At 36.6% G+C, this 27,031-nt stretch overlaps 1 protein-coding gene across 4 annotated transcripts in view, besides 2 other annotated features; it reads right to left on the bottom strand.

Moving 5' to 3' along the window:
* Window positions 1-27,031, bottom strand: part of CDK14 (cyclin dependent kinase 14) — a 614,270-nt gene that overhangs the window by 479,346 nt on the left and 107,893 nt on the right. For 2 of the 4 annotated variants that reach the window (NM_001287136.1, NM_001287137.1), the window contains exons 1-2: window positions 21,288-21,429; window positions 4,433-4,678 (exon numbers count right to left, since the gene is read on the bottom strand). In NM_001287136.1, coding sequence (NP_001274065.1) covers window positions 4,433-4,663 — 231 coding nt within the window. In that variant the 5' untranslated portion in view covers window positions 4,664-4,678; window positions 21,288-21,429. Of the gene's footprint in view, window positions 1-4,432; window positions 4,679-21,287; window positions 21,430-21,634; window positions 21,848-27,031 lie in introns of those variants that run through there. The other 2 variants (NM_012395.3, NM_001287135.2) reach the window with 2 other exon arrangements.
* Window positions 21,433-21,622: an enhancer, noted in NCBI's record as "active region_26249". NCBI's record gives its function as "activates an Ori minimal core promoter by ATAC-STARR-seq in GM12878 lymphoblastoid cells {active_cell/tissue: GM12878}" and the evidence as "EXISTENCE:reporter gene assay evidence [ECO:0000049][PMID:35858748]".
* Window positions 22,073-22,192: an enhancer, noted in NCBI's record as "active region_26248". NCBI's record gives its function as "activates an Ori minimal core promoter by ATAC-STARR-seq in GM12878 lymphoblastoid cells {active_cell/tissue: GM12878}" and the evidence as "EXISTENCE:reporter gene assay evidence [ECO:0000049][PMID:35858748]".

The following is a 27,031-nucleotide window of genomic DNA, read 5'->3' as shown; positions in this document are numbered from 1 at the left end:
AAAACAGCATGGTACTGGTACAAAAACAGATATATAGACCAATGAACAGAACAGAGACCTGAGAAATAACACCACACATCTACAACCATCTGATCTCTGACAAACCTGACAAAAACAAAGCAATAGGAAAAGGGTTCCCTATTTAATAAATAGTGTTGGGAAAACTGGCTAGCCATATGTAAAAAGCCAAAACTGGATCCCTTGCTTACACCTTATACAAAATTAACTCAAGATGGGTTATAGACTTAAATGTAAGACCTAAAACCATAAAAACCCTAGAAGAAAACGTTGGCAATACCATTCAGGACACAGGCATGGGCAAAGACTTCATGACTAAAACACCAAAAGCAATGGCAACAAAAGCCAAAATTGACAAATGGGATCTAATTAAACGAAAGAGCTCCTGCACAGCAAAAGAAACTATCATCAGAGTGAACAGGCAAACTCCAGAATGGGAGAAAATTTTTATAATCTATCCATCTGACAAAGGGCTAATATCCAGAATCTACAAAGAACTTAAACAAATTTACAAGAGAAAAAAGAAAACAACATCAAAAAGTAGGCAAAGAATATGAACAGACAATTCTCAAAAGAAGACATTTATGCAGCCAACAAACATGAAAAAAAGCTCATCATCACTGGTCAGTAGAGAAATGCAAATCAAAACCACAATGAGATACCATCTCACGCCAGTTAGAATGATGATCATTGAAACATCAGGAAACAACAGATGCTGGAAAGGCTGTGAAGAAATAGGAATGCTTTTACACTATTGGTGGGAGTGTAAATTAGTTCAATCATCGTGGAAGACAGTGTGGCAATTCCTCAAGGATCTAGAACTAGAAACACCATTTGACCCAGCAATCCCATTACTGGGTATATACCCAAAGGATTGTAAATCATTCTGCTATAAAGACACATGCACACGTATGTTTACTGCAGCATAGTTCACAATAGCAAAGACTTGAAACCAACCCAAATGCCCATCAAAGATAGACTGAATTAAGAAAATGTGGCACATATACACCATGGAATACTATGCAGCCATAAAAAAGGATGAGTTCATGTCCTCTGCGCGGACATGGATGAAGCTGGAAACCATCATTCTCAGCAAACTAAGAGAAGAACAGAAAACCAAACACCACATGTTCTCACTCATAAGTGGGAGTTAAACAATGAGAACACATGGACACAGGGAGGGGAACATCATACACCAGGGCTAGGGGAGGGATAGCATTAGGAGAAATATCTAATGTAAATGACAGGTTGACGAGTGCAGCAATCCACCATGGCAAGTGTATACCTATGTAACAAACCTGCATGTTCTGCACATGTACCCCAGAACTTAAAGTATAATTTTAAAAAAAGAAAAAATATATTTTTTAAAAGGGCAGCAAACAGAAAGGACTCAGAAAAAAACAGGATATTATAGCATCCTGCTGAAAGAGAAAACGAAGCCATTTCCAGTTTGATAAGGTAAGAGAAAAGACATTTTTCCAGGGCACATTGAATTGAAGCAAAAATTCCTAAAATAAAAAGAAAGCAAAGCAGTTCCCACACAAAGTAATATAAATGACCTAATATATATTAAAAAAAGTCATCCCAGGGTGAACCAGGAAAGGGTAAGCCCAAGATGATCTAAAGAAACTAAAAAATACAATAGAGAAACTGTGAAAACTTCCAGTGAAACTTGATGGCTTGAAAACATGTATTTATCTCTCCCCCTTACCAATTCATACTAAAACAATACTAAAATTAAAACCCATAAGGGCAATCAAAATGAGTAAAGAGAACACTAGAGACGAGATAGAAATAAAAATGTAAAGACAGGACACAAATGGTTGAGAAGTCACATTGCCTAGGATGAGTGGGGAAAAAAAAAAAAAAAAAAAAAAAAAAACCTTGATACCTACATGATCCAAGGCATAAGCCAGTAAGAAATAAGTCAATTCATACTTCAGAATCCCAAAAATACTCACAAACTGGAAGCTGAAGTTCAAGTTGGGGCTACAAATGATATGATTAGTTGGAGTGAATTTAAGGTGGAGGTCTTTGCCCCAGTCTCCCTCGGCCAGCCCCCTATCCCTTCCTAGTCCCGCCAGAGATTTATTCTCTGAAGAGGTTGAATCAGAGAATTCAACTGGGGCTTGGATACCAGGCAGAGTGGATATCAGATTGAAGAGTCATACCGAATGAAAAAAAAAAAAATCATGAGAAAGTTGGCATAGAGAACTGAAGGGTCCTCAGTCCCTTCTTGATCATCTCAGAATAGTGACAGCTAGGTTTATATGTCCTAAAAAAAATAAATTGGGTAAGTCCATTTTGTGAGAAACACCCAGTAACAAAAACAAGATCAAGAGACAGCGACATTTGAGAGTACTTAAATAAAACGACTAGGTCTTCACCAAGAGTCCCTATGCTGAAGCCAACCAACTGACAAGCCACCCAGGCACAGAGCTTCCAATCAACTTCTGAGTACATTACTCATAACATAAACTGACAGCCAACAGTTTCTCTCCAAGAGGCATGACATAGACCCACCAAAAATCTCAACAGGTAAGGCAGAGACCAAAACAAATAAACAGAAACAAGAAACTCAAAGGAAATCCAGAAATAATTCAGAGAATATGTAAAAGGAAAAAAAATTCCCCAAGCTACATTTTGTATCCTCAGAAACATATGAAGTGATATGTTATTCATTGAAATAGAACAGGATACTTTTTAAAAGAGCATTCAAAGAATAAGAAAGAGTTCATGGAAATAAATATTAGTATAATTAAAAATCCAATTGAAGGGTTAAAAATTAAAAGTTAAAAAAACCCAGAAGGTAGGAAAAAAAAGATTTAAAATAATAGGGAAAAGAAAAGGTAACTAGAAGATCAATCCAATAATGCCAACATCCAACTAATAAAAATGTTATCGTAAAAGAGAAGATTACAAAAAATTAAATAAACATATAAGAAAATTTTTGAAACTGAAAGAAATTAACTCAAAAATTGAAAACACCCATTGATACCAAGAAAAAGGATGACACCAGGGATGAAAAGAAAGTCCTAGAAAGTTCCACAAACAAAAAAGCAGATAAAGGATGAACTGGGAAACCAGAATAGTCTAGGGATTTCAATACAATCTAGGCACCTAGAAAACAATAAAACAAGGTATTCAAAAGTCTAAGAAAAAATTATTTTCTAAACTAAAATCACATACTTGGCCAGATTATTAATCAAGTAATCAACGACAGATAAAATCATAGTCATATGACAAACCCCCCATCACCCTTTCTCAAGAAGCTACTGCGAGGATGTACTTTAAAACAATGAAATAAACCAAGAACAAGAAAGACATGTAACCCAGAGAATGGGTATTTAACATTAAAAAAGGAGGAAAAAATTCTCAGAAAAGGACGCCTTATGACTATAGGATTAGAGGTTAACCAATCTATATTAAATTAGGACTATGAAGAACTGCCAGGGCAATCTCAGTGGGGGAGAAAAACTGATAGATTATCTGATTTGTTTTGGAGGCATTTTACAGTTTTGTCATATAGTTGCAGGCCTCAAATTGTGTTTAAAATTATCTTAATTTGAATGAAGGAAAAGTAGACAATGACAACTAAGAAAATGAAGAAGTTGTGCAAGGAAGGAAATTTATTCATAGCATACTTGTGGTTTCCCTGACCAAAATTTACATTATCATACAATTGTAAATAATGTATATTAATTTAAGCCAAAAAGTAGGAAAAAATGTATTTGAGAATAGAAATATAACAGAGAATATTCTCTCTTGGTGTGTTCCTTTCTAACTTGTAAATCACTAGTTATATCTAAAGTCTGTTTCCCTCTAACACTTCTTTCTGGACATTCTCTTCTTTCCTTTGGTCCTACTGAATCTACCCTACACAGATTTCTACTCCAGCATTTTCCATTCAGTACAGGGCTTTGTCCTGGAAAAGAACTTCAACTTGTCACTTTACAGAGTCACATGAGAAAGACTGGTGGAGTACCCCCCCAAAAAAAACTGGATTAACGCAAGTGAACAAATTTTGATATTTATTCTGCAATGAAATTCCTTGTGAATTTGCTAATTTCAAAACTATCCTTACTGCCTACACAGTAAAGTTCAATAACCTCTCCAAGGGTTTGAAATACAAAAGACTTTTAATTATAAATTCCTCTAACTAGAAACAATTAAGGGGGAAAAATGATTTTTCCAAAAATAAGTTGAATCATTTCATTCATTTGCTTGCTTAGTGCTTATAAATAAGGAGTCCATATATAGTTTGCTCTCTCTCTTCCAAAACATTCAACCACCCTGGGAGAGAATGCATAATAAGGCACTGATAAAGTTTCCTGCTGTCTTCCAGCACCGCATGCTATCATAAGAAGGCTATTCCTTCTGTTTACCCAGTGATAAACAAAAAGACTGCACTTACCGAGCTGGGGCTGGAGTGCCGCCTAACTTTAGGTGACTCTTTGCCAGTGGAGGAGGTCTTAAAGTTAATGCAAGCATTGTTCTCAGAATGCACCCTCTTTACTTGATTAGCTGGTTTCTCAAATGGGTCAAAAGTGCTCTGTGTCCTCTGAACTCTGACTTTTTTATCCTCAGGAATTGTGTCCAGGGGTTTGATCACTGAGTCCATTCCCTGGCAGTTCCGTGTAGACATCTTTGTGACACATATCTGAGAAAAGAAGAAATTAAATTCAGAACTCTTCACTGCAACTTTAATATCACTAAACATGCCAATATATAACTCTAGAAAGCATGCCAATTTCAGTTTCAGGAAATACCCAAAAAGCCCACATTCTAAAAGCTGCATCAGCATAAATTACAGTACAAAAAAATCCTCACAATCATTGTGTTTACACTTAGATCTCACACTAGAGCTTACACTAAAAAATCTACCTCTAAAATGAGAAACTTAAGGCCCAGGCTGCTAGTAGTACCCTAACATGATTCTTGAACTCTGTCACACGTTTTACCATCTGACTGGAAGTGGTTTATTTCTGAATCATTAAGAGGTTGGGTAACTAGCCTTAATTTAAAAAACAAAAAATAGGCAAATCAGATGGACATTAACTGATGGGTCATCGTGTAAGCAGCTAACCTAGGCTAGAGAAGGAAAGGGCATTATGTTGTTTAAAAGTTTTATGCATGAATATGTATGCTTAAAATCTGTCCCCATCTTGATTTCATCTCCAAATTGGAATGAATGGAGCTAATGGTTAGAGATACTGAAGAACTGAGGACAATGGTGGGGGTTTCCTTTATTTCAAAGCTAATGGATAAAAAGAAATAACATTGTAAAAGAAAAACACCAAAAAGCATTCATTTCAAAATTTGGTTTACATTATTCCACTAGACCTCCACCTCCTTCCCTTCTTCTTCCTTCTTCACCCATTCTCTTCTCACCCAGCCTTCCCCACCCTCTCATTTTATTTCAGTCTCTGTGATTTTTGCTCCTTGCTTTTTACTTTAGTTCTAAGCCTGTCATTCTCCCGATACTCTGGAGACTTTGTTGTCTTTATTCAATAATTTGATGGCCTCTGGCTTGTCTGTAAAGCTAACTAATTTAATTGTTCTCTCTAAAGAAAATATAACTCTAAATAAAATTGTTTTTAGAATGCTTTTCTTCTTATAAAAAGTTCCCACATCCCTATATGCTATCAAAAGCAGAAAAACCGAAGATATTTATGAAAAGCCCACACTGTTAAGGTAAAAATACGAAGTTTTTGAATACACACTTTGGGTCCGTGGTTGGTTGAGTATGTGCATACAGAACCCACAGATACACAGAGCTAATATGTATAGAATGACTCCATGTGGGGTATAAATGCGGCTATGTATATGGATAGATATAGACAGATACAGATATAAATACAGACACAGATGCATAGATATAGATATTTGTGAGTGTATGAGCATGGTGAAAAGTATACAGGAAAACACACCACCAAACTATTAACATCAGATATCTCCAGACATGTGGAATTGAACGGGCAAGATTAGCAATTTTTGGTACACTCTTGTGTGAATTTTATAATAAATATTCCAACATATGTAATGTTTTAAAAACCACTAAAGTAGAAAAGCATGTATAATTAAAATAAGCCATTTCAAGTTTTTGAAACAAAAAGTTTTTAATCATTAAACATCAACCCTATGAGTATGTCTCAACTACTAAGCACAGGCTGAATTCTAACTAAGTCAAATGAGAAAAATATTATCATACTTTTTAGCATGTGAGAAAACAGCTGAAGATATTTTTAAAAGACTCAAGGCAGAGTCCTCTAGTCATGATCAAAAAGTAAAAATGAATTACAAGTATGTTGGAGCATGCAATATTTTTAAGGGTTTTTGTGCTCTTCTTAAGGACATGAAGGCAGTAAATAAGAAACCACCCACATCACTAAAGCAATTAAATTATAAATACATGGGCCTGAGAAGTCAATGAACTGCAAACACAGAAAATTTGAAAGAAAAAAAAATGTAAGGGCACGTTGAAATCAAATTACTTAAAATAGAAACTAAAAGATAAGGATGACAGAAAATAGTTGATGACTAAATTAATAGAGAAAGGCAATTAGAAAGCATCTTGGACTAAATAAAAATGAAAACACAAAATACGAAAATGGTGAGATTCAGCTAAAGTAGTACTTTAGCTGTAGGAAAATTTGTAACACTAAATGACTAGAGAAAAGAAGAAAAGTCTCAAAGCAATAACCTCAGCTTCCACCTTAAAATACTAAAAAAAAAATAAATAAATAAAGCAAATAAAAACCAAGATAAGAAGAGTGAAATAATAAATAAGAAAGTGGATATAAATAAAATAGAAAACAGAAAACAATAAAGAAAAATCAATAAAACCAAAAGCTGGTTTTCAGAGAAGTTTTTTTTAAATGATGAACATCTAGCCAGACAGATAAGGGGAAAAAAAAGTAGAAAATATACATCGCCAATATTACTATCAGGAATGGGAGCAGTGATATCACTACAGATGTTCTACAAATACTACAAACAACATTGTGCCAATAAATTCCACAACTTAGATGAAACCAATTATTTGAAAGACAAAAACTACCAAAGCTCACTCAGTTAAAAAAAAAAATAGATAACATGAATAGGCCTGTGTCTATGACAGGAATTGAATTTGTGGTCAAAAACATTACCACAAAGATAATGCCAGGGCCAGGTGGCACCACTGGTGAAGTTAAAACAAACATTAAAGGAAGAAATGACTTCAATTGTACAGAAACCCTTTCAAAATACTGATGAAGAGGATATACTTCCCAATTCATTTTATAAGGCCAGTGTCATTCCAATACCAAAGCCACACAAGAACATTGTAAGGAAACTACAGATCAATCTCTCTCATGAACACAGATGCAAAAAATTACTGGTACATCTTCAACAAATTGAATGCAACAATATATAAAGAAGATAGTAAACCATGACAATGTCACACTAATCCCACGAATGCAAGGTTGGCTTAACATTCACAAATCTGTAATTCACCATTTTAAAATACAGTGGTAGGCAGTCTCTAACATGGCTCCCAATAACACCCACTTCTAAGTATTCACACTCTTATGTAATCCCCAGCTCTTGAGTGTGGGCTGCATTTGTTGACTTGTATCCCATAAATATAATATGGCAAAAATCATAGGATACCGCTTCTGAGAAAACATTGTAAGAACAATGTTTCTTCTATTTTGGTGCTCTCTCTGCCTTGAGTATCCCCTCTTAGATCACCAGACCTGGGGAAAGCCGGCTGCCATGCCATGAGGCAGCCCTGTGGAGAGGCACCTGTGCAGAAAGACTAGGGCCTGCAAACAACCTTGTGAGTCAAGTTTTCAGGGACAACCACAGTTCCAGCTTCCTGCTTGACTGGACTCTCATAAGAGACCCTGAGCCAGCTAAGGAGCATCTGCAAGAGACCCATAGGAACTAAGATTTTTTAAAAATGTATGTTGTTTTAAGATGTTAAGTTATGGGATAATTTGTTATGAAGCAATTAATACACAGTTTTTTAAAAATCATATGATCATCTCAATAGACTCAGAAAAAAGCATTTGATAAATTCAGCATCCATTCACAATAAAACCTCTCAACCAACTAAAAACAGAGTAAAACTTCCTCAAACTGATAGAGAGCATCTACCAAAAAATTACATGTAACATCATACTTAATGCTGAGAAACTACATGCTTTTCACCTAAAAACAGGGAAAATTCAAGGACATCCACTTTCACAAACACTTTGATTTAACATTGTATTTTAAGTTCTAGAAAATACAATAAAGCAAAAAAAGTCATTTGTTGGCTTCAGGAAACAGAGGAACTCCAATTAGAAATTCTGATGGCTTTCTGAACCTATACAATTTAAGCAAGAGAAACTGTTACAGAATCTACTGCAAAGTACAGCTTTCTCTCCATCTTCATGCCTTAACGGCCTTACAATACATACTTTGAGTCAGGTAGTCTCTCATTTAATGGATCTGACTATGGCACAGTTGATAATTATAAAAATCAGTGGAAACTATGCACCTGTGAAAAACCAACATCTCTAAAGTATTCTATCATTAAGACAGAAGAGGGCCGCCTTTCCCTAATTTTTGAGAAAAAAAAAATTTAACAAGGTTCTCAACTTAAAATATTTCCCATAAATATTCTTAAACATTTCACGTTTACCATTTTTGCTAACTACTAGCAAACTACAAAATAAAAGTAGAAAACAATCAACTTAGCTGGGCATGGTGATACACACCTGTAGTCCCAGCATTTGGGAAGCTGTGGCAGGTGGATCATTTGAGCTCAGGAGTTCGAGACCAACCTGGGCAACGTGGAAAAACCCTGTCTCTACAAAACAAATATAAAAATTAGGCGGGTGTGGTGGTGCACACCTGTAGTCCCACCTACTCAGGAGGCTGAGGTGGACAGATCTCTTGAGCCAGGGAGGGCAAAGCTGCAGTGAGCTGCAGAGTCTGTGCCACTATGCTCCATGTACTCCAGCCTGGGCAACATAGTGAGACCCTATCTCAAAAAGGGAAAAGGGAAAGGGGAAAGGGTGGGGGAAGGGAAAGAGAAAATGGAAAAGGGGGAAGAGGGGTAAGAGGGGAGAAGGGAGAAGAGGGGTAAGAGGGGAGAAAAGGGGAGGGTAGGAGAGCTCTTAGAATAAATTTAAGTATCCAGAGTGCATGAAGAGAAAAGCGAGCAGCCTGGGTCTTAGCAATGAAAGAGGGCTCTGGAGGACGCAGTATACACTGGCGCTACTCCCCTGCGTACAAGTCTTCAGTTGAATGCTTATATTAACTTGTCAGCAATCTGAATAAATGCTTCCCACCCCAAATAGAATCTTTCTGCCCACAGCAAAATGCTTATGGTCAGTGCAGTAAAAGGTCTTAGTAAAAGATAAAACCTCATATATTAAAAAAACTCAGAGACAGAAGTACGGAATGTCAAATTGGAAAAAATCACTGAGAACCCAAACCTCAAAAACACAGACTCTTCCAACCACCAAACAGTAGCCCTTTTATCCACTACTAACTTTCATGTGCACCCCTAGTGCCCAGATTTTGGCCTATGTTCCAGTTCTCCAGTAAGGAAAGGAAGAAATCTTTGGAAAGTAATAGATTCCAGTTCACAGTGCAGGAAGTGTGAAAGAGCCAGGAAACATCCAGCTGTTACCAGAAAACTGGCATCCTTTCAAAAATGTCAGGGATCGTGCTAGAAGGACAAAGGAATCTGCCTAAAGGAGCTCCCAACGATCAAACTGTGATTATTTATTCGAGCATCAAAAGGAAAAATAAAAGTATGGTTAAATAGAACAAGATGAGTTGCTGAAAGACCATGAGTTCATTATGATTTCAAAAGAGAAAAGTTACTATAAAGGCCAAATGGCAGCTATAATATAAAAGAAGTATGAATATAATACAATATGGTTGATTTTAAGATACAGAACTGTGAGTAAGCCAAGAAGTGCTAGAAAAAAAGTACCAAGGAACTGTATCAAGGACAGGAATGAATGATCAGGGCCTGTGGGGAGGGTCCAAGCAGCATGAGTGTAGAAAGAAAAGCAACACAGCATGTTCCAATGGCAGCAGACCAGGTGGGTGGATGTAATGCAACAGGCTAAAGGGCAGGTGATGTTGCCTAAGCAACGTATTACAAAGTACACATCTGGTGGAGATAAACAAGATTAAAAAGAAAACCTATGTGAACCAGTGTGGAAAGCATTTTTTTAAAGAAGTTAAATTTTAATAATACATATGAAATTTAACCCTTAAAAAGAAAACTCAGCTTAACTGCCAACCCGTGACTCAGATGTGAATCTCTGACTTGAAAAAAGCATCCAGGACCCCAACAGTCAATAACTCAGATCCTGTAACCGTGGCTGTTCTGAGAAGGAATTCTTTTACTTGTGGTCCTGTAAAGATTACAAAATCCCAAAAAGACACAAAAAATATTATTACTGAACTCCCTGGAAGAAATCTAAATAAGTAGATCTATAACCCTAGAAAGGTATAAAAAAGAATAGAGAAATAATAATAAGATTACATAAACCCACACTGTTAATAAGTATAGTAATATATTAATAATTTGCAATCATTACATTTACATATGTCTTCTTTGTTTAAAAGTATCTAGAATATGTCAAAATAATCAGTCACACTAAATTAGTATATGACATTAAGGGAATTTAATTAGGTCAGTAAACAATGCTTAAATAGAAACAAATTGGTTTTCAAAATTACATTTCTTAGCTACATACATTCTTAAAGATGTGGGCACTTGGCCAAATACAAAGGCCATGAGCTGTGAACATTCTGGATACAGGAGACCCTCAGACATTCTACGCACTGTCCGTCAGCTTCACTGTCCTTCACACATGCTTTCTTACCGCCCTCAGCCTGAAAACCTTCCTCCCACCAAGCCATGACTTGTCTCCAAAATTGCCTTTGCCTAGATGCACTTGTTGATTAAATCCCACCCACTCGGACCAATCCTTTATTAAGAATTCACTTCAGTGAATTTAGTCTGCTCCAATATTTTGCATACCTTAGACTGTAATTATTCTTTTTGTGATACTTTAATGTCAACAACCTGATTATCTCTTCCACAGGGCAAGGACTGTCTTATATTCATTTTATAGCCCCCTAAAGTACTTTTCCCTTCGAATCTCCTCTTGAAGAGTCCAGTAAAGATTTGTTCATTAACTCGTGGAAAATAAGGAACTTCCACAGGTTAAAAATGGTTTTCCCAAATCATGGGTCCAGAAGAAAATATCTTTGGCACCTCTGCCCAAGGCAAATTCCAGTAGACAGCTATGCTATCAGTATCGTGTGAAAACAAGACAGAAATTCTAATATCAATGAGAACTAAGAATAGTCTTCTCCATGACTGTACTTTTTCATACTACTTGTTCCATTTAGAAACTGAAGTAACAAAAATCACATAAGCAGGGATGTCTCCTGGTATTCGAAAACATATAAAAAGAAGAAATCATCACAAATACCAAAATAAACTTTTTTTTCCAGTAAATTCAATAGAAGCTAGAATTTCAAACTTGCTTTGAGATGCACCCACACATATGGATATTCATCTGAAGCGATTAATTTGGTCTACTCATTATTAACAGGAACTTGTTCATTTGCTGGCAAACTCAAACCTGAGTAAAAATTGTTAGAAATTCAAACAGTGTATGAGGCTCCAAAAGTCACAATTTGACCTACGATTCTAGCTTAGAGCTATGTAAAATCCAGACAACTGTCTACTGAACTCACAGCAGTGGATTTGAAAGAGCACAGCTTAATTCAGTTAAGGTTGGCATTCATTTCAAGTGAATTCATTCGGTCTGAAAATTGTCCCTTTGAATCACCCATTTTCTGGTGATCAGCATTTTACTGGGTTCAGAGTCTGATTTTCTCTACTACTTCACTCCACACTGTTAGTTGAAGGCAGACACTGGAAAAGAATTGGTTTAAAAGACTCCAGGTTAACCCACAGCAAATATGTATCATGCGTCAGGCTGTAGCTAGGTCATGCTCTTTTGATATTCATGAAAGGAATATCCATCACAGGTCCAATGCAAAACTATGAAATAAGCAAAAATCTTGACAACCTCTTTCATTTGTTTTTTTCCCTTTGTCCAATACCCCAGGAGGGCCTGATGGCTTTATCCTACTCAAAATCTGCTCCCAATATAAAAAAATCATCAGTCATTTATAAGTTTTTGAGCACTTAAATCGTAGTACTACCTCTCCCAGAATTATCTGAACTTTAAGCGTTACAGAACAACAAGTTTTCTCCCTTATAAAAGTAATTTCAGCTATTAAGGATAGATGTGCAAGAGTTTTGGGTAGAAGAGAGAGGTAGGAAGAATTAGAATCATTGCCACTAGAATCATAACCAATGATAACTGCCTTCATCTATAACTTAAATCTGTCAAATCTAAAAGTATGCTTTCCTCTCTTTGCTTGCTGTCTTCTCTATTTTCTCCCTAATAGTATGCGTGTGTATGTATGTGTGTATACACAGAGATGGCAGTAAGAGTGGCTACACAGAGCAAAGATATGTACACATATAGAAGGATATATGCAAGAATGTGTTTTTTACTTACAGCTTTGTTTTATGAGAACCAAGATCTTGCCTAAAGTCACCTTCAGAACATTATCTAATATACATGCAAACATACTGCCCATAGAAGTCAGAACTAAGTGCCTCAAGACAAGCCACTTAAATTCCCCAGATCTCAGTCTTCTCATCTGTAAAATGATACAGATCTGTTTTAGCTCTAATGTTCTACTATGAACTTTAGGCAGCAGTTTGCAGCTGGTAAATAATTTTAGATAGGTCAACTAGTAAAGTCTCACACATAAATTCACTTCTTTGTGCTTCCTTTGTGTTCCACTTTCCCTTAGAATTTTAGGATTTAGAAAGGACAAAGACAGGTACATACCATGTATACACTTCTCTTAATGTCTCCAGTCTTTTCAGATTTTCCTTAACTCTGACATCCTGGCACTGTTTCTCAGTGGTGGCATCCTGGGCATTTTGGCTGAAAATTATTTGGGTGCAGCATTTCCACAGCAGTACACGTTGTAGAGCATCTGGCAACCATGGTTCTGTGTACTAAATGCTAGTCCTGCCCTTATATCATTGTCACTGTCACAACCAAAAATGCCCTCACTACCAACTACATCATTTTTAGATTGTATTTTATAATTTGTTACTGAAATATATGTTATTATATATTCTTATATAAGCTACTGTAGAATTTGTTTTCAAGTGTTTGGTTTATTTTGGTGGGGTGGGGGGAGCTCCGTCTTTGCTGAGCACTGTTTCTCACGTGTTTGTATTTCCATGACCAGAGTGTAAACACCTTGAGCACACAAACCATATCTTCTATTTCTTTAGTGTTCCCAAAGCACAAAAGACCGGGCATGAAATAGTTCTGTTAATATTTACTCAATGATGGATTGTTTTACTAATTATAAGCTTTCCCCTTTAACTAAAAATAGGCCACTAAAAAAATTAGTCCTGAGAAACTACATTAAAAACAAGGTACCTTCTGAGTTGAGATATTTTCCAGTCATGAAAACACTTCACCAGATGTTTCCATTCATCAGAATTCAATGTCTAACATTGCGATTTAGTTTTAAAATGCTTATTTTTCTACTACATGGTTTCTTTGGCATCTGACCCAATTTCACTTAAATCCTGAATTCCTCAGCTAGTGGACACTGCTGAATGGAGGACTCTTGAGGACACCACATTCCTTTATGCTGCTTCAGTGACCTTTACGCTGCTTCAGTGACTGTAGTTTTGTTACATCCCTTACTGGACTTCAATGCTTGCCATCAATAGGCTTGATAACTGTTTTGCTAATTCTATTATGGAATATTAGGTAGTCTTTCCAGAAGCTTAAGCTTTGGTATATGTTGTTAAAATAATTTTATTTAGTCACTTTCTCTTCTGTGATAATTACACATTTCAGATGAGATACAGTTTTGTTTATAGGCTCATATAGGTAGATGCCTATACTTCCTGACTTCTATACTTCTTCATTTTGATGCCTATACTTCTTCATTTTGTCCAAATCATAATGATAAATTTAACGTAAGGTTTTAATGAGCACTCATAGCAAGGGTAGAATTACTAACAACCAGCCCTATTGTTAGTTGTCTGTATAAGTTTTTCAGAATGTAGTTAGCATTGTGACCAGAATTTCATCTGGAAAAGTTAACCCCTTGCTGCTTGCAGACTGGCAGCACGGGAATCACTGGGATCTCAGACCCACTGCAGTTCTACCAAGTCAGAATCTGAATTTTAACAAGATCCCTGGGTGATTTGTGTGCACCTTGAAATTTGAGACATGGTGCACTAAACCATGTAATGATATATTCTGCTGTTATGGTCCAATAAGAGATTGTGATTGTAGAGAGGGCAAATTTAGAGGGAAAATTTGTTTCAGTCTCTGTGTACAATGAGTGATAAAAATTTTACTACTCCTTCGGTAACATATTTTACTCAAACTTATCTCAAAAGTTCACGGTAGTTATCAGATAACTCAATATATTTTCAGCTCTGAAATAAAATGTGCAATAATATACATCCAATATGTTTATGAATTTAAACAACCATGGAATTGGAATGAGTGATGAGTAGAGAAGAAAGAATATACATGGGTTATAGCAGCATATATGACATTACTTCCTGCATAGAAATTTATAGATGTATGTGTCTCTAATATAGGAACATTGTTTTGCTGCTAGCCATCATATCTATAAAAACAATTACTACAAAATTATCCTAAGTAGAATTGAATTCAGAATCTTGCTTTGCTTACTACTTACTAGGGTTTATTTGGTAGCTTTGGAGGAAAAACTTAGAAGGAAGTCACCTCAGGATCTAGAAAAGAAATTTGAAAAGGAACTTAAATTTGTGAAGAGTACCATGTATCCTAAAACAGGTCCTCCTTTGGTGTGGGTGTGAGGGGAGTCTTTGGCCCAAATGGCATAACTGAACATTTCCCACTCCAGTTAAATCCTACTCTGATTATGTGAAAAGCCAGATGAGATGTCTTTCAGACACTGTTTCCACTAAAAACATTAAATATCCCAAAAAGGTCAACAAGAGAAAGAAGAAGGTATGTACATTTTCTGACTTCCAGTTGACATCCACAATTATATGCTGGTTAAAATGCCATCATGGAAAAAAGACAGAGTCAGGAGTGCAGAATTCATATCATACGACCAAATGGTACGTGTTAAGAGGTGAAATATTAAAATTGATATCTATATTCCCCCCACCCCTCAACAAAACATTTATAGCCAAAGGGCTCAGAAATGGGACACAAGAGATGAGAAGCTCCAAGCAGAGCAAGCGGGTGACTTTGTTTTGAGATTCTACAAAACACAGCGTTTTCCAATCTACAAAATTCCCATAGCTGCACTGGGGAAATGGAATACCTATTCTCTACAAAATAGAAAAATCAAGCTACACAGTGGCTCACACTGCATGGCTAATTAGTTTCTTCATCAAGACACTATTCCCTTAAAACTCTTACTCTAGAAAAAAAAAAAAAAAAAAAGGTCTATTCCTGCAAATAAAAACTTTTTCTCCCTCTCCCACAGGATTTACAGGTTTAAATATAGCTTTTCTTTTTTAGGTTTTGCCTTGGGTTCTACCTGAAAAGGGGAAAACAGAGTGTATTTCCAAAGGACTCCACAACATATAGCAGTATGAACTAAGCTGGCGAAGGGGACTGACTGTTAACTACTCTGATTTAAAAACTAAAAATGTCTACCATGTCAGAAGCACTAACCACTAATAAACACAAGAGGCTGATCTCAGATTCATAGACTTGAAATCAATAATATGGTCCAGGACGCTTTCTACCTATACACACATATGCTTAATGTTTGAGGGGTATTTTTAAACATCACAGGGACTGCAGAAGCTCACTTGTCTCAAAGGCCGTGCAAAAGACAGTCTCAAGTGCCTTCTGAATTCTGTTTGTTTTCACTTTTGAGTTTCACTAAACCACCCCTGGCTTCTTTGTACTAAACCAGGCCAGTTCTTCCTTCATGTCTACACCTTTCAAATATCTGTAGCTCACTATTCTGTCCCTCATGTAAAATACAGCATCCAGAAGGTGCAATAACATTAAAACATGAAAACTGAAGAGAAAACACTACTGGAGATATGACTGATCCTTTAGGATCTGAATTCTTTCCCCCAGTAACCATATGAACAGCGTTTAAAAATAAAGATTATAAATATTTTTAAATTCCTTCCCTAAAGGAGAAATAAAATTGTGTACTATCTTCTTACTCCGAAACAGATGGCTATATAAATACAACATACATCTCCAAATCTACAATAGCCATCTTTTTAATAAAATATAAATGTATTATTAGTGCTTGGATAATAATTTAGTGGTTGATGTCAAGAATGATGTTATAAAGTTTAAAAGTTTAATGTTTTTCTTCTTATAAAATAAATCTAGATGCAAACTCCATCAAAGTGTTCAGGAAAATATAGGGCATCACTCAATATAGAATTGACTTTTGAAGCTCTTAACATTTTCAGAGAATCATATATGGGTCACTAACCACACAGAGCTTATGAAGAGGAACACTGGGAACAATGAACCTTTGAGGAGAAAATGGAAGTATCTTTCAATGTTGCTTTAACAATTGATTCATCTATTATAAAGAGCCAAAATTTCAGCAATAATAAATTTGACAGTAACCCATTAATAACACTCCTAACTGATTTCATGAAGACCAGTTCTGTAAACCTTTCCTGTAGCTGAGAAAAGTCAATACCAAATCCTGCCTGAGAGATGCAAGGTGAATAGAGCACAGCAGTGGGATACACACATCCTGCTGTTTGTCTGTCACCGGAAAACAAACCCCAGTGCTTCCAGAAGCGTTTCACTGTCAACTTTGTATTTTTAGCAAGATTTCATTTACCTGAGGAATAAGCTGCTGGGGCAAATGTGTTATCAACTGGGCCGAAAAGTAAGTCTAAAGAACATTTACCCTTCCAAAGTCTGCCAGATGATAAACAGGATATTGGAGCTTTCTGTTACATCCTCCTTTTATCCACTCAGACTCAATAACACTAAGAAATAATTACATATGCTCTATAGTCAAACTACAGAAGGATCTTGGGCAAGATATAATGCAGCTGATAGAAAAGAGATGGAAATCAAGGATTTCTAGATGAGATGACAATGATGATGATGGCTAACTTGTTGAGCTCTTATTACATAAATTACTATAAAAATGCTTTAAAAATAGCTTCCCAATTAATCTCTACAACAACCTCATAAGAAAGGTGACTAGTATTATCTCAATTTTGCAGATGGTTACATTGAGGCACACATGAATTAAGTAACATGTCCAAGGCCACACAGAAAATAAACACAGGAGATGGGATTGATTACAGGACTCTGAATACAAAGCACAAGCTCTTGACCACTGTATTGTCTTTCGTACATGTCCCCTGGGACTTACATCATGAGAGAAGTAAACAAAAAACAACTTTATCTGCAATTCTCTCCATTTCTCTCCATTCTCTCTTATCTCTCCTGATGAAAAAAAAAAAAAAAAAGTACTTCCAAAGCTGTGCAAAATAACTGCTCACTGGTTTAAGGTTTTCTGGCCCATCTTCCCTCTCTCCCCACAAACCTACCACTCAAATTTAACATGCATTTGATTAATCTGATTCTGAATTAGTCTCATAATAAAAGTCAGGCCATAACAGAAAAACAGTTAGGAGGACAGAAAAACAGTTAGGGGGATAGAAAGCAAGACCCATTAAGAAGGAGCAGGCTTATTTGGGAAGACTCAGGTATTGGATATTGCTATGTTGAATCTTCTTCCTCTATAAATGGTTGGGTCCCCTGGATAGTGAGTTAAAAGCATGGATATAAACTGCTGACTGACCCAGTGTAAGAACTGTCAAAATGGTCGACAGAAAATAAATGAACAGCACTGAGGCCTTAACTTGGCTTTCTAAAAAGGGTCCCCTCAGAAAAACCATCTGGATTTATGGAAGCAGTATCAGGAAGAAATCTGAGAAACAGAAAGCTGTATTGATGAAGCTAGGCTTACCTCATCCAACGGAAAACTTCTTAATGTGGCATCAAATTTACACCCTCTACTATTTCTGTCAAACTCAGAGGATACTTGGGGTTTTCTGGTTGTTTCCACTGAAAACAGGGGTGGGGAGTAAAAGAAGGCCCATGGCGGGCAGCAGGAGACTGAGTTTCCCTCTCACGTTGGCTAATGAATGATAATGAACCAATTAAATAACACAATTTCTAAAGTACCTGCCAGCTCTAAGAGTCTCTGACTCTGTAAGAAGACCTCAACATGATCAGTCTTTGCTTATGAAGTAAAATAGAGAAAGGAGACACAAGTACAGTGGGTGAAATTCAAATGTTAATAATGACAAAAGCCATGGCCCAGCTTCCAATTATTTCAGCTGAATGCTGCTATCAGCAAAGAATTGATGTGAAAATCTTAGCATCTCAATTATAATACATCCATAGATAAATATATGAAAATAATATATAATATATCCATAACTCTTCCTCTCAGTGCATTTCTATTCCTTATTCCTTGCCCTTTCCCATAGGCTATTTTAGTATATCTAAAGTATTTATTACGATGTCCATATAGGAACTTGATTCATGTCATCATATGAGGAAAAACTGCTGTCTATCCCATATAAAAATCAAAGAATGCATTAAGAAGGAATGAAATTCTGATACATGATACAACATGGATGAACCTTGAAAACATGCTAAAACACGGCAGAGACAAAAGAAAAAATACATATGACTCAATTTAATCTACTATGAGGTACCTAGAATGCCAAACTCACAGACACAGAAAGTAGAATAAGATTACCAGGGGCAGGGGGAAGGGGAATGGGGAGTTACTATTTAATGAGAGCAGGGTAGGGTTTCTGTTTGGGTTGATGAAAAAGTTCTGGAAATGGATAGTGGTGATGGTTGAAAACACTGTGAATATATCTAATGCCACTGAATTATAAACTTAAAAATGGTAATAATGGCAAGATTTGTGTTATATATATTTCACCACAATAAAAAATATCAAAGCATACAATATCTCCTTCATAACTACCAAAATGAAAAAAAAAAACTTGCCACATATTTTCTCTTTGAAATATTTTTAAAAGTAGACTGTAGCTGCGTGCAGTGGCTAATGCCTGTAATCCCAGTACTTTGGAAGGCCAAAGCAGGAGGGTCACATGAGTCCAGGAGCTCAAGACAAACCTGGCCAACATAGTGAGACCCTCGGCTCAATTGAAAAAAAAAAAAAAAAACATAGTAGACTATAAGTTCCATAAGAACCAGGACTAGATCTGTTTTACTCACCACTATTACACAACAGACTCCAAAAATGTTTAACCAAAAAATGCTTTTTTAAAAGGAGAGGATTAAAAAGCACCAAACTGACTATCCATGAGAAAGTATAATGGGGCGTATTCCAGGGGAAAATACTAACACAACTATATCTAAGCTTCTTCAGGAAAATGTACTGTTTCATCCATACTTCCTTTACAGCAGGTCTTACAATGTTTTACACATAGTGGGTGGCTAATCAATATTTGCAGAATGAGAGAAATATCGTATGATTGTAAAATCAGTCACGTTATTGCTCTACTTTTTAAAAATTACTTTTCGCAAACTTACAATTCCTTCTGTCACAGGATGAAAAAAAAATCCTCACAACTCACACAAAGTAAAGGTAAAAATATGAATAGCTAAAACACAAGATTCTCAGAAAAAGAAACAGTAAACACAGGGCGCATCATCTTCCAAACAGAAAAAAAAAGTTTAAAAAAAAAGAGAGGTAAATTTGATCTATCTTTGGAAGAAAATCCAAATATTCACTCCCAACAATCAATGTCCAACCTCAACAGTAAATAGTTGAGTGAATACAGAAGCACTGCACCATTTAAAGAAATTTACTCATAGTGAACCACAACAGTTACCCATATTTCTCTCAATTAGCCTATCAACTAATCAGGCGATCTTTCTTAAATTTACTTATGTCACAAAATTATACAGAACTGGCTACATGCCAGTTCTGTATAATAGCCAACATGCAAGCTACTGATTTTTTTAACATTCACCATCTACATTTTACATAAAGTACTAAGTTAATTAAACTATACACAAGTGGAATATTTTTAAAGCAAAAAATCAAATGCTGACATCCTTAACATTCAGCACCTATATAATAATAGGTGGATCCATATAAAGTCACTAGGACTAAGTAATGTTATTAATCTCACTTTGAACACTATTAAAACATGTCCTTCAAGTTCAAACCCCCGCCACATCAAATATGTCAACTGTGTGACAATTAACAAAGGAAACAAAAATTCAGTCTCTGAAGACGTCAAGGTTTACATTCCTATCTCTCAATTTTATCTGCTTTACAAGCAGGTAAGCCTCATTGGAGTAGGCTGTCTGCTACCACGGTCCTTCATGAATGCAGGGGTTCTCCATTAGCATCCAAAATGCTAATAGTCTACTATTAGAGCTGGCACTTCACGCAGAACTGCACGAAGAATTATCACTTCTGTACATAAAAGCATAACCACTACAGGTGTAATGATGCAAAATACCAGCACACTGACCTCTGCTCAGCAGTACACACTTAAAGCAGGTGTATTTCTGTGATCCAAAAAGGAAGGAAATAGGATGAGCAGGGAGGAAGCCCCAGGTCTCTAATATATTAGAGATATTTATTCTACTCAGATCCAATCCAGCTAAATTCATGGACATCAGTTTACTCAAATGGAAAAAGTAGTCTCTCGTCCTTCACTTGCTTGACTCAGAGGGCATTCAGCCAAGCACAGCCAGGCAAAAAAAAATGTAAGATCTCTTTCAGCTGTAATAAATAAAGACTAGTTTCAGAAGGAATAAGACTCAGATATGGCAAAGAAGCAGTCGTTAAACCTTTTCCCCATCTTATCACTGCTACTGGTGTTTACAAACTACAAGCAGTAGCCTCGGGAGCCTCAAAAGACTCTCCCATGAGTAACCTCCAGTCAGTCTCTAATTTAAATACCCCCTTTATCAATCTGTGATGTTTCTGGCAGTTAAATAGAAGGAAGTGAGTAAAATGACATGCATAAAATGAATCCTTTTTAAGTTGTAAATGAGTGAGTCAGGATTCAGACTTGCCGAGATGCTCCAAATTAAAACCCCTCCTGTAATTTTAAGCATGCTCTGTCTTACCGTTTTGCTGTTGTCTCCCTCAGGCTTGATTCACCTGGAACTCTTTAACATGTCTCTAGCAATGTGTTTGCACCAGGCCAGGCTCATACAGCAACTGAATTCACATCTTTCTGCACTAGCAAGCTGAAATGGTACGGCCGTACTACAACCAAGAGAGGGGGATGCATAAGCAAGCAAAAAAAAAAAAGCCCAGAAATCCCCTAAGAGAAGCTAATCTCAGTGGAATAAGACCAAAAACTGTTGAGAAGAACTCAAAGGACATGCTAACATTCAGTATCAATAGCTTTAACAGCTCAATTATTTTCTCCAAAAAATCTAATTTTTTTTTCCAAACACGATGGACTTGCCTGTGGAGTTCCCACGAAGGCAGAGTAACCGGGCTCTGCAGCAGCATTGCAGCCAAAGTAACCGTGCATATGCTGTCAAGGCAATTCACAACACACTGTCTTTTCAGAAAGATATTGATTTGCAATGCAGGGCTGCTTCAGAAGAATACAGAATGGGAGCCAAACAGCTAATGGTGATTGCATAGGAGGAAAAACATTTAATCAAGGGGATGCACCTCATCATGCTCAATTCAATTTTTTAAGAGCACTGGAGAAAGCCAGTAAGTGTCCTGAGTGACAACCCCATTAAATAATAATCTGGGATCCTATAGAAGGCCAAGTTTCAGCCACCATCATGCATGCTGCAAAAGCTGCTAAAATGGTGTCTACGTGTATATATTTGTCATATGCAAATGGAGTATGATGAGAAGTCTAAAATAACCACGCACCAAATATGTGGTTAAAAAAAAAAAGCACAGGTGCAGCATATGCAGCATACACAGAACCAAAGTAAAAGAATGCATAGTTATGAGCTTGCAGAATTTTTGGTGGACTTAGAGCTCATACCATTCTGAAAAATAAAATACCAAAACAAGCCAGATCTCACAACCCTTAGGCAAATTGTGCCAAGTCATGCCACAAGGTGCTAGGCGGCAAAGGAAGGATGCCAGACTGCTACTCTCATAGCGACCCCTACAGGAGAGTGGTTGATCCACTCTTTTTTAAAGGAGTTCCTGTCCTCGGTACACAGAATCACAAAAGGACATAAATTAGATTAAGATACAACAATACAACTGAGAAATACCTTAGGCAAGAAATAAAAAAGGCATGAAATCTAACCTTGTAAATATTCACGTATTTTAAAAATTACAAGAGGCGGTAACTACTGTGTCAATGATAAGTGGTCGATATTCCCAAAGCTCCCCAAACTAGGGTATACAATGATGATGAGAAACCTCAGGCAAAGTGTTTTCCCTTCACATCCTAATTGGTTTAAATGAATCATCTCTTCTTTCTCCCACTTGCAAACTATCTTCACCTTCATCATTTTGAATGACACTGTGAAGATAATTCAACTTTGTTTTCTTACAACACAAAAGCTCATGTAAAATCTTTTTAAAAAGTTATTGTTCAAATACAAATATTACATACTTTCATCTTCAACAAAGTCAAAAGAGAAAGCTATCTCCTTAATATCTGAAAACTATTGAATTATATGAGCATCATTTTTGCAGAATAGACTTCAACAGGTCTTTCAAGAACCTGACTTTTTTGTGATTGGTTATCCCTCCAGCCCACAAAGACACCTTTTCCAGAACCAACAGCACTTCTTATTTGAGTCATTCAAGATTTAATCATACACCACCTCATAAAACTCTCTTGTACTGTTGGCATTTTCCCCATTTTAAGGCCCTTGATAAATCACGCCAATTGCATTTTTCAAAATTTACTTAAATACCACATAATACAATGCTAGGCATCTAGCAAATATTAAATTAACATTTAAAAAATTAATGAATTTCCCAACTCCAAATTTTAGGGCTAAAGGTTCTTCTTAGGCAATCCCCTTTCCCCTAACATTCGTACAATGTTTGTGTTCACTAAGATATCTTGTATAAAAACCAACAAACACAGTAACATTTCTCCTTTAATCTTTCATCTATTCATTCAGCAAACGTGCTAATGTGCCTAGCAATGTGAAGAGCCATGTGCTCTGCATTCAATGAATGCCTTAAGTGATTAGAAATAAAGCAAGTGATTATAATACACTGAAATGAGTATTTTGAGAGTGCTCTATTCAGTATAAATAATATTCCTTAGGTGGCTCAAAAAAAGACTTCACAGAGGAGGTAACGTAAAGCTGAAGCTTCCAGTACTACCCAGGAGAAGAAGGACATTTGGGGAATAGCATGAAGCCTGAAACTGGAAGCTGTATGAGGAAATAACCAAGCCATACTCACAGTGGTCACCACTGCGAAGGCTCAGAAGAAAGGTGGCTCAATGCCAGGGCAGAAAGGGCCCTGTAAGCCATGCTAAAAAGTTGGGAATTTTATCCTATATGAAGTTGCCATTTTATCCAATAGAAAAGCCCTACAGGACTAGAGGCAGAAGAGTGGCTGGATGAGATTTTTCATCTTACGACAGGGTAATGGTGTAGAAATGGATTGGAGAGGTGAAGGAAGGGAAGTGGGGAGGCCACTTGGGAAGCTAAGCTAGTGTTTCAGACAAGGCCCTGAACTAAAGCCATGAAAATGTGGGTGGAAAAACAACAGAGGTAAGAGGCATTCACCATGGGTTACCTGCTGAGTGACTGGACATGAAGTCTATGGAAAGGGAAAATCTATACTGAATTCTCTAGTATAACTAGGTAAAAGGCTGGTTCATAAAGTAAACCAGTGAACACAGGAAGAATACAAGCTTGAGGAAAAGAGGAAACTATTATAAACTCAATTTTTTACACATTGAGTTTTAGGTATCTCTGAACATCCAAGTGGACATGTTGCACAAGCAGCTGTCTAAGGGTCTGGAGCTCAGATGATAGATCAAAAGTTTGCTTATATGCCTAGGTCAGGGTTTCCTAGAAACAGAGCTGGGCCCAGATCTTACAATTTATTGGGGGCAGTGCCCTCAGTGAAAAGAAATGGGGAGGCAGGACAGGGAGGGGAAAAGCCAAGGAAGAATGTGGCCTCAGACAAAAACTACACCCAGCATTAGTCTCCCCTGAAGCAAGAGGGCCAGGCTTTTGTATCCCTGGGCTGATCAGTCACTGACTGAGACCTGGACGGGAAGGACTTCTGTTCACCCTAGGCACCCACTGACCAAGTGGATCTGAGCACAACACTCATCCAACTATGGTTCAGTCACAATGGACAATTTTTCTTTTCCTCAAAGCTGGTTTCTCAGGAATGTTTCTGTTTGCTGTTCTCTCTGCCTAGAATGTTCTTCCCAGATAACCCCTTGGCTGACTTGTTCCCATTACTCAGTTGGACCTCAGGTATTGCCTCTTCAGAGTCCTTCTCTGGCTTTCCTCTGCTGTTGCTCCTCCCTCCCCTATCACATTACACTGTTTTTGTTCATTAATTTACTTTGTTTGTCTTCCTTCCCCACTAGAATGTAAACTGCTTAAGAGCATGGACTTCTCGTTTGTTCTCCTGTGTTTCCCCAGCCCCTAGGACAGCACTCAGTACTTGCTGAATAAATAAACAGTAAGAAGAGTTGCTGATGACAGAAGTTCAAACAAATTCTGTGGACATATGTAGAGTGGAAATGGATGGGTAGCTTGAGGAATGGGTAGGGGAAAATAATAGTCTCAACAAGCATGTAGACACCAAGTCTGACTATAAAGCAGAAGTAAAGAGAGCAGGGAGAGCGCAAAGCTGCAGGAAATTAATCATTATGTCATACAGGATTCACAATCTATGGTGTTAAGAATATCTTTATTAGAGGCCATTGAGATGTCTGAAACTATGCCATAAAAGAACAACAGTAGAGGTTAAAATAAAAATTATAGCTTCAAAGAGAAGAGACAAAAAGGCTTGTAAAAACAATCTCAGTGGACAGAGAGAAAAACAAGACTAACATCTACTAGGTCATTTTTGTGAGTAAACAAAAATCGATCCTTTGAAATGCCTGTCTTTATATGAGACTTTTTTAAATTCTAAAAAGTAGTATGCACTTCCCTGACTTTTAAAAGAGATTATAATAAACACAATCTAATCTTCAACTGATGATGGGGCCAATTATAAACATCAGCAGCAGCCCTCGGGGTTTAACAGTAGGTATACAGGGCCAACTGGCTCCTAATCTCAATAATCTGACATCTAAGTGTTCTTCTGCTTCATTTTTATGATTCATTCTCTTTTTAGCATCAAAATCGACTTATTATGGCCCTATATGTGCCTCTTCCTTCTAATATCACCACACTCTCCTCAGTCTTCTTGCTACAGGCTTCCTCAGCCATCCCCGTATTGGGCAACTAGATAATCAGGCTTATTAGAAGAGGGTGTGAATGGCTCGAGTCAACAGGTGGGTTCAAAGCAGAACCATGAACTTTCTCCTGAGTGGAAAACATGTAGGCCTTACTCCACAGGCTCTGCAGTACTCAGAAACCCTTGTTTCATGTCAGCCTTCGTGGAGCTATCTCAGACACAAGAGGCTGCCAGATGACTGATCTTCACATAAATAGGGTCTGAAGGACAGGTGGGGCCAAACAATTTTTTAAAACCTGGAAAAAAGAACTGAAGAAAGGGATAGAGAATTACTTTTTTTCTATCTTTATCTTTTTTTTTCCTTTTCTACCAAAAGCCTGTGAAGGGAAAACACTTTTTTTTAACAGAACAAGGAAAAAGAAACACTAAGAAAATTTTAAATATGAGGGAAGAAAAGAGTACTTTATATATACGAATCTAACTATAATAATCAGCTACTTTATGAATTAGCTTCATTAAAACTTTTAAGTCTAAAAGAAAGGAAAAAATTATAAATTTATTTTCAAAAGTAATAAAGAAAACAGAAATTTTCCAAAAATAAGTTGCTTTTCAAATGATTATAATTCCATATAACCCTAGCAAATACTTTCTCTTTTAAAATAGATTATATTTAGTAATATATTAGTAATCTATTTTATGTTGTAAATTTTTATGGTAAAATTTCATGTTATTGATTTTTAAATGTTCATTTTGTTTTAGTAAGCCTAAACCCCAACCTTTTTGTGAACCCTAAAAACTTTATGACTTAATTCTCTTCTGATGTCACTCACTACTTACAATCTCATATATTTGAAGAAATGTCACTTATCTAAAATACTTTCCCAAAACACCGTGAAATTCTGGAGGAATCTGTTAAACTGAATGTTTAACAGCCATGTCTTAACCACAATACCAAACCTATCCATATGTCATGCACGACATTGCATGGCAATGTTGAGATTTTCCTCCTAATATTATACAACTTTGAGTGTTTTCTTGATTCTGTAGGGGAAAAAAGAACTAACTTTATCAATAAACATAGGTGATTCTATCACAACCCAATAAATCTGTTCCCAGCAAAACTTTACATTCTGTTAAATTACACCCTAAAAACCAAAGGACTTATGTGGAAAATGATATTGAGGAAGACCATTCAAAACCTACACATCCAGAACACTAATAAAAACAACACAATTCTAATAAACACACATACATGCCACATTTTCTTCATCTCTGCATTCCCTACATTGCTGATACAATTTTGCATACAATGGATGCTGTAACATGTCTTGGCTAAAGATAAATCCTGTGCTGATCCCTATGAACTGCAGAAAATATGTTCAGGTGAAAAAATGTTTTGTTATGAACTTCATCTAAGTTGGAAATTAAAATCCAAAGCTAGAGCTATAGCAAGGGAACTTCAGATTGTTAAGGTTGTCAAGAAGCAGCG

Source organism: Homo sapiens, chromosome 7 (genome assembly GCF_000001405.40).
Source record: "Homo sapiens chromosome 7, GRCh38.p14 Primary Assembly".
In the NCBI taxonomy this organism is placed as follows: domain Eukaryota; kingdom Metazoa; phylum Chordata; class Mammalia; order Primates; family Hominidae; genus Homo; species Homo sapiens.
The sequence above is the reverse complement of the archived record's forward strand: the minus strand, read 5'-3'. Positions and strand labels throughout refer to the sequence as shown.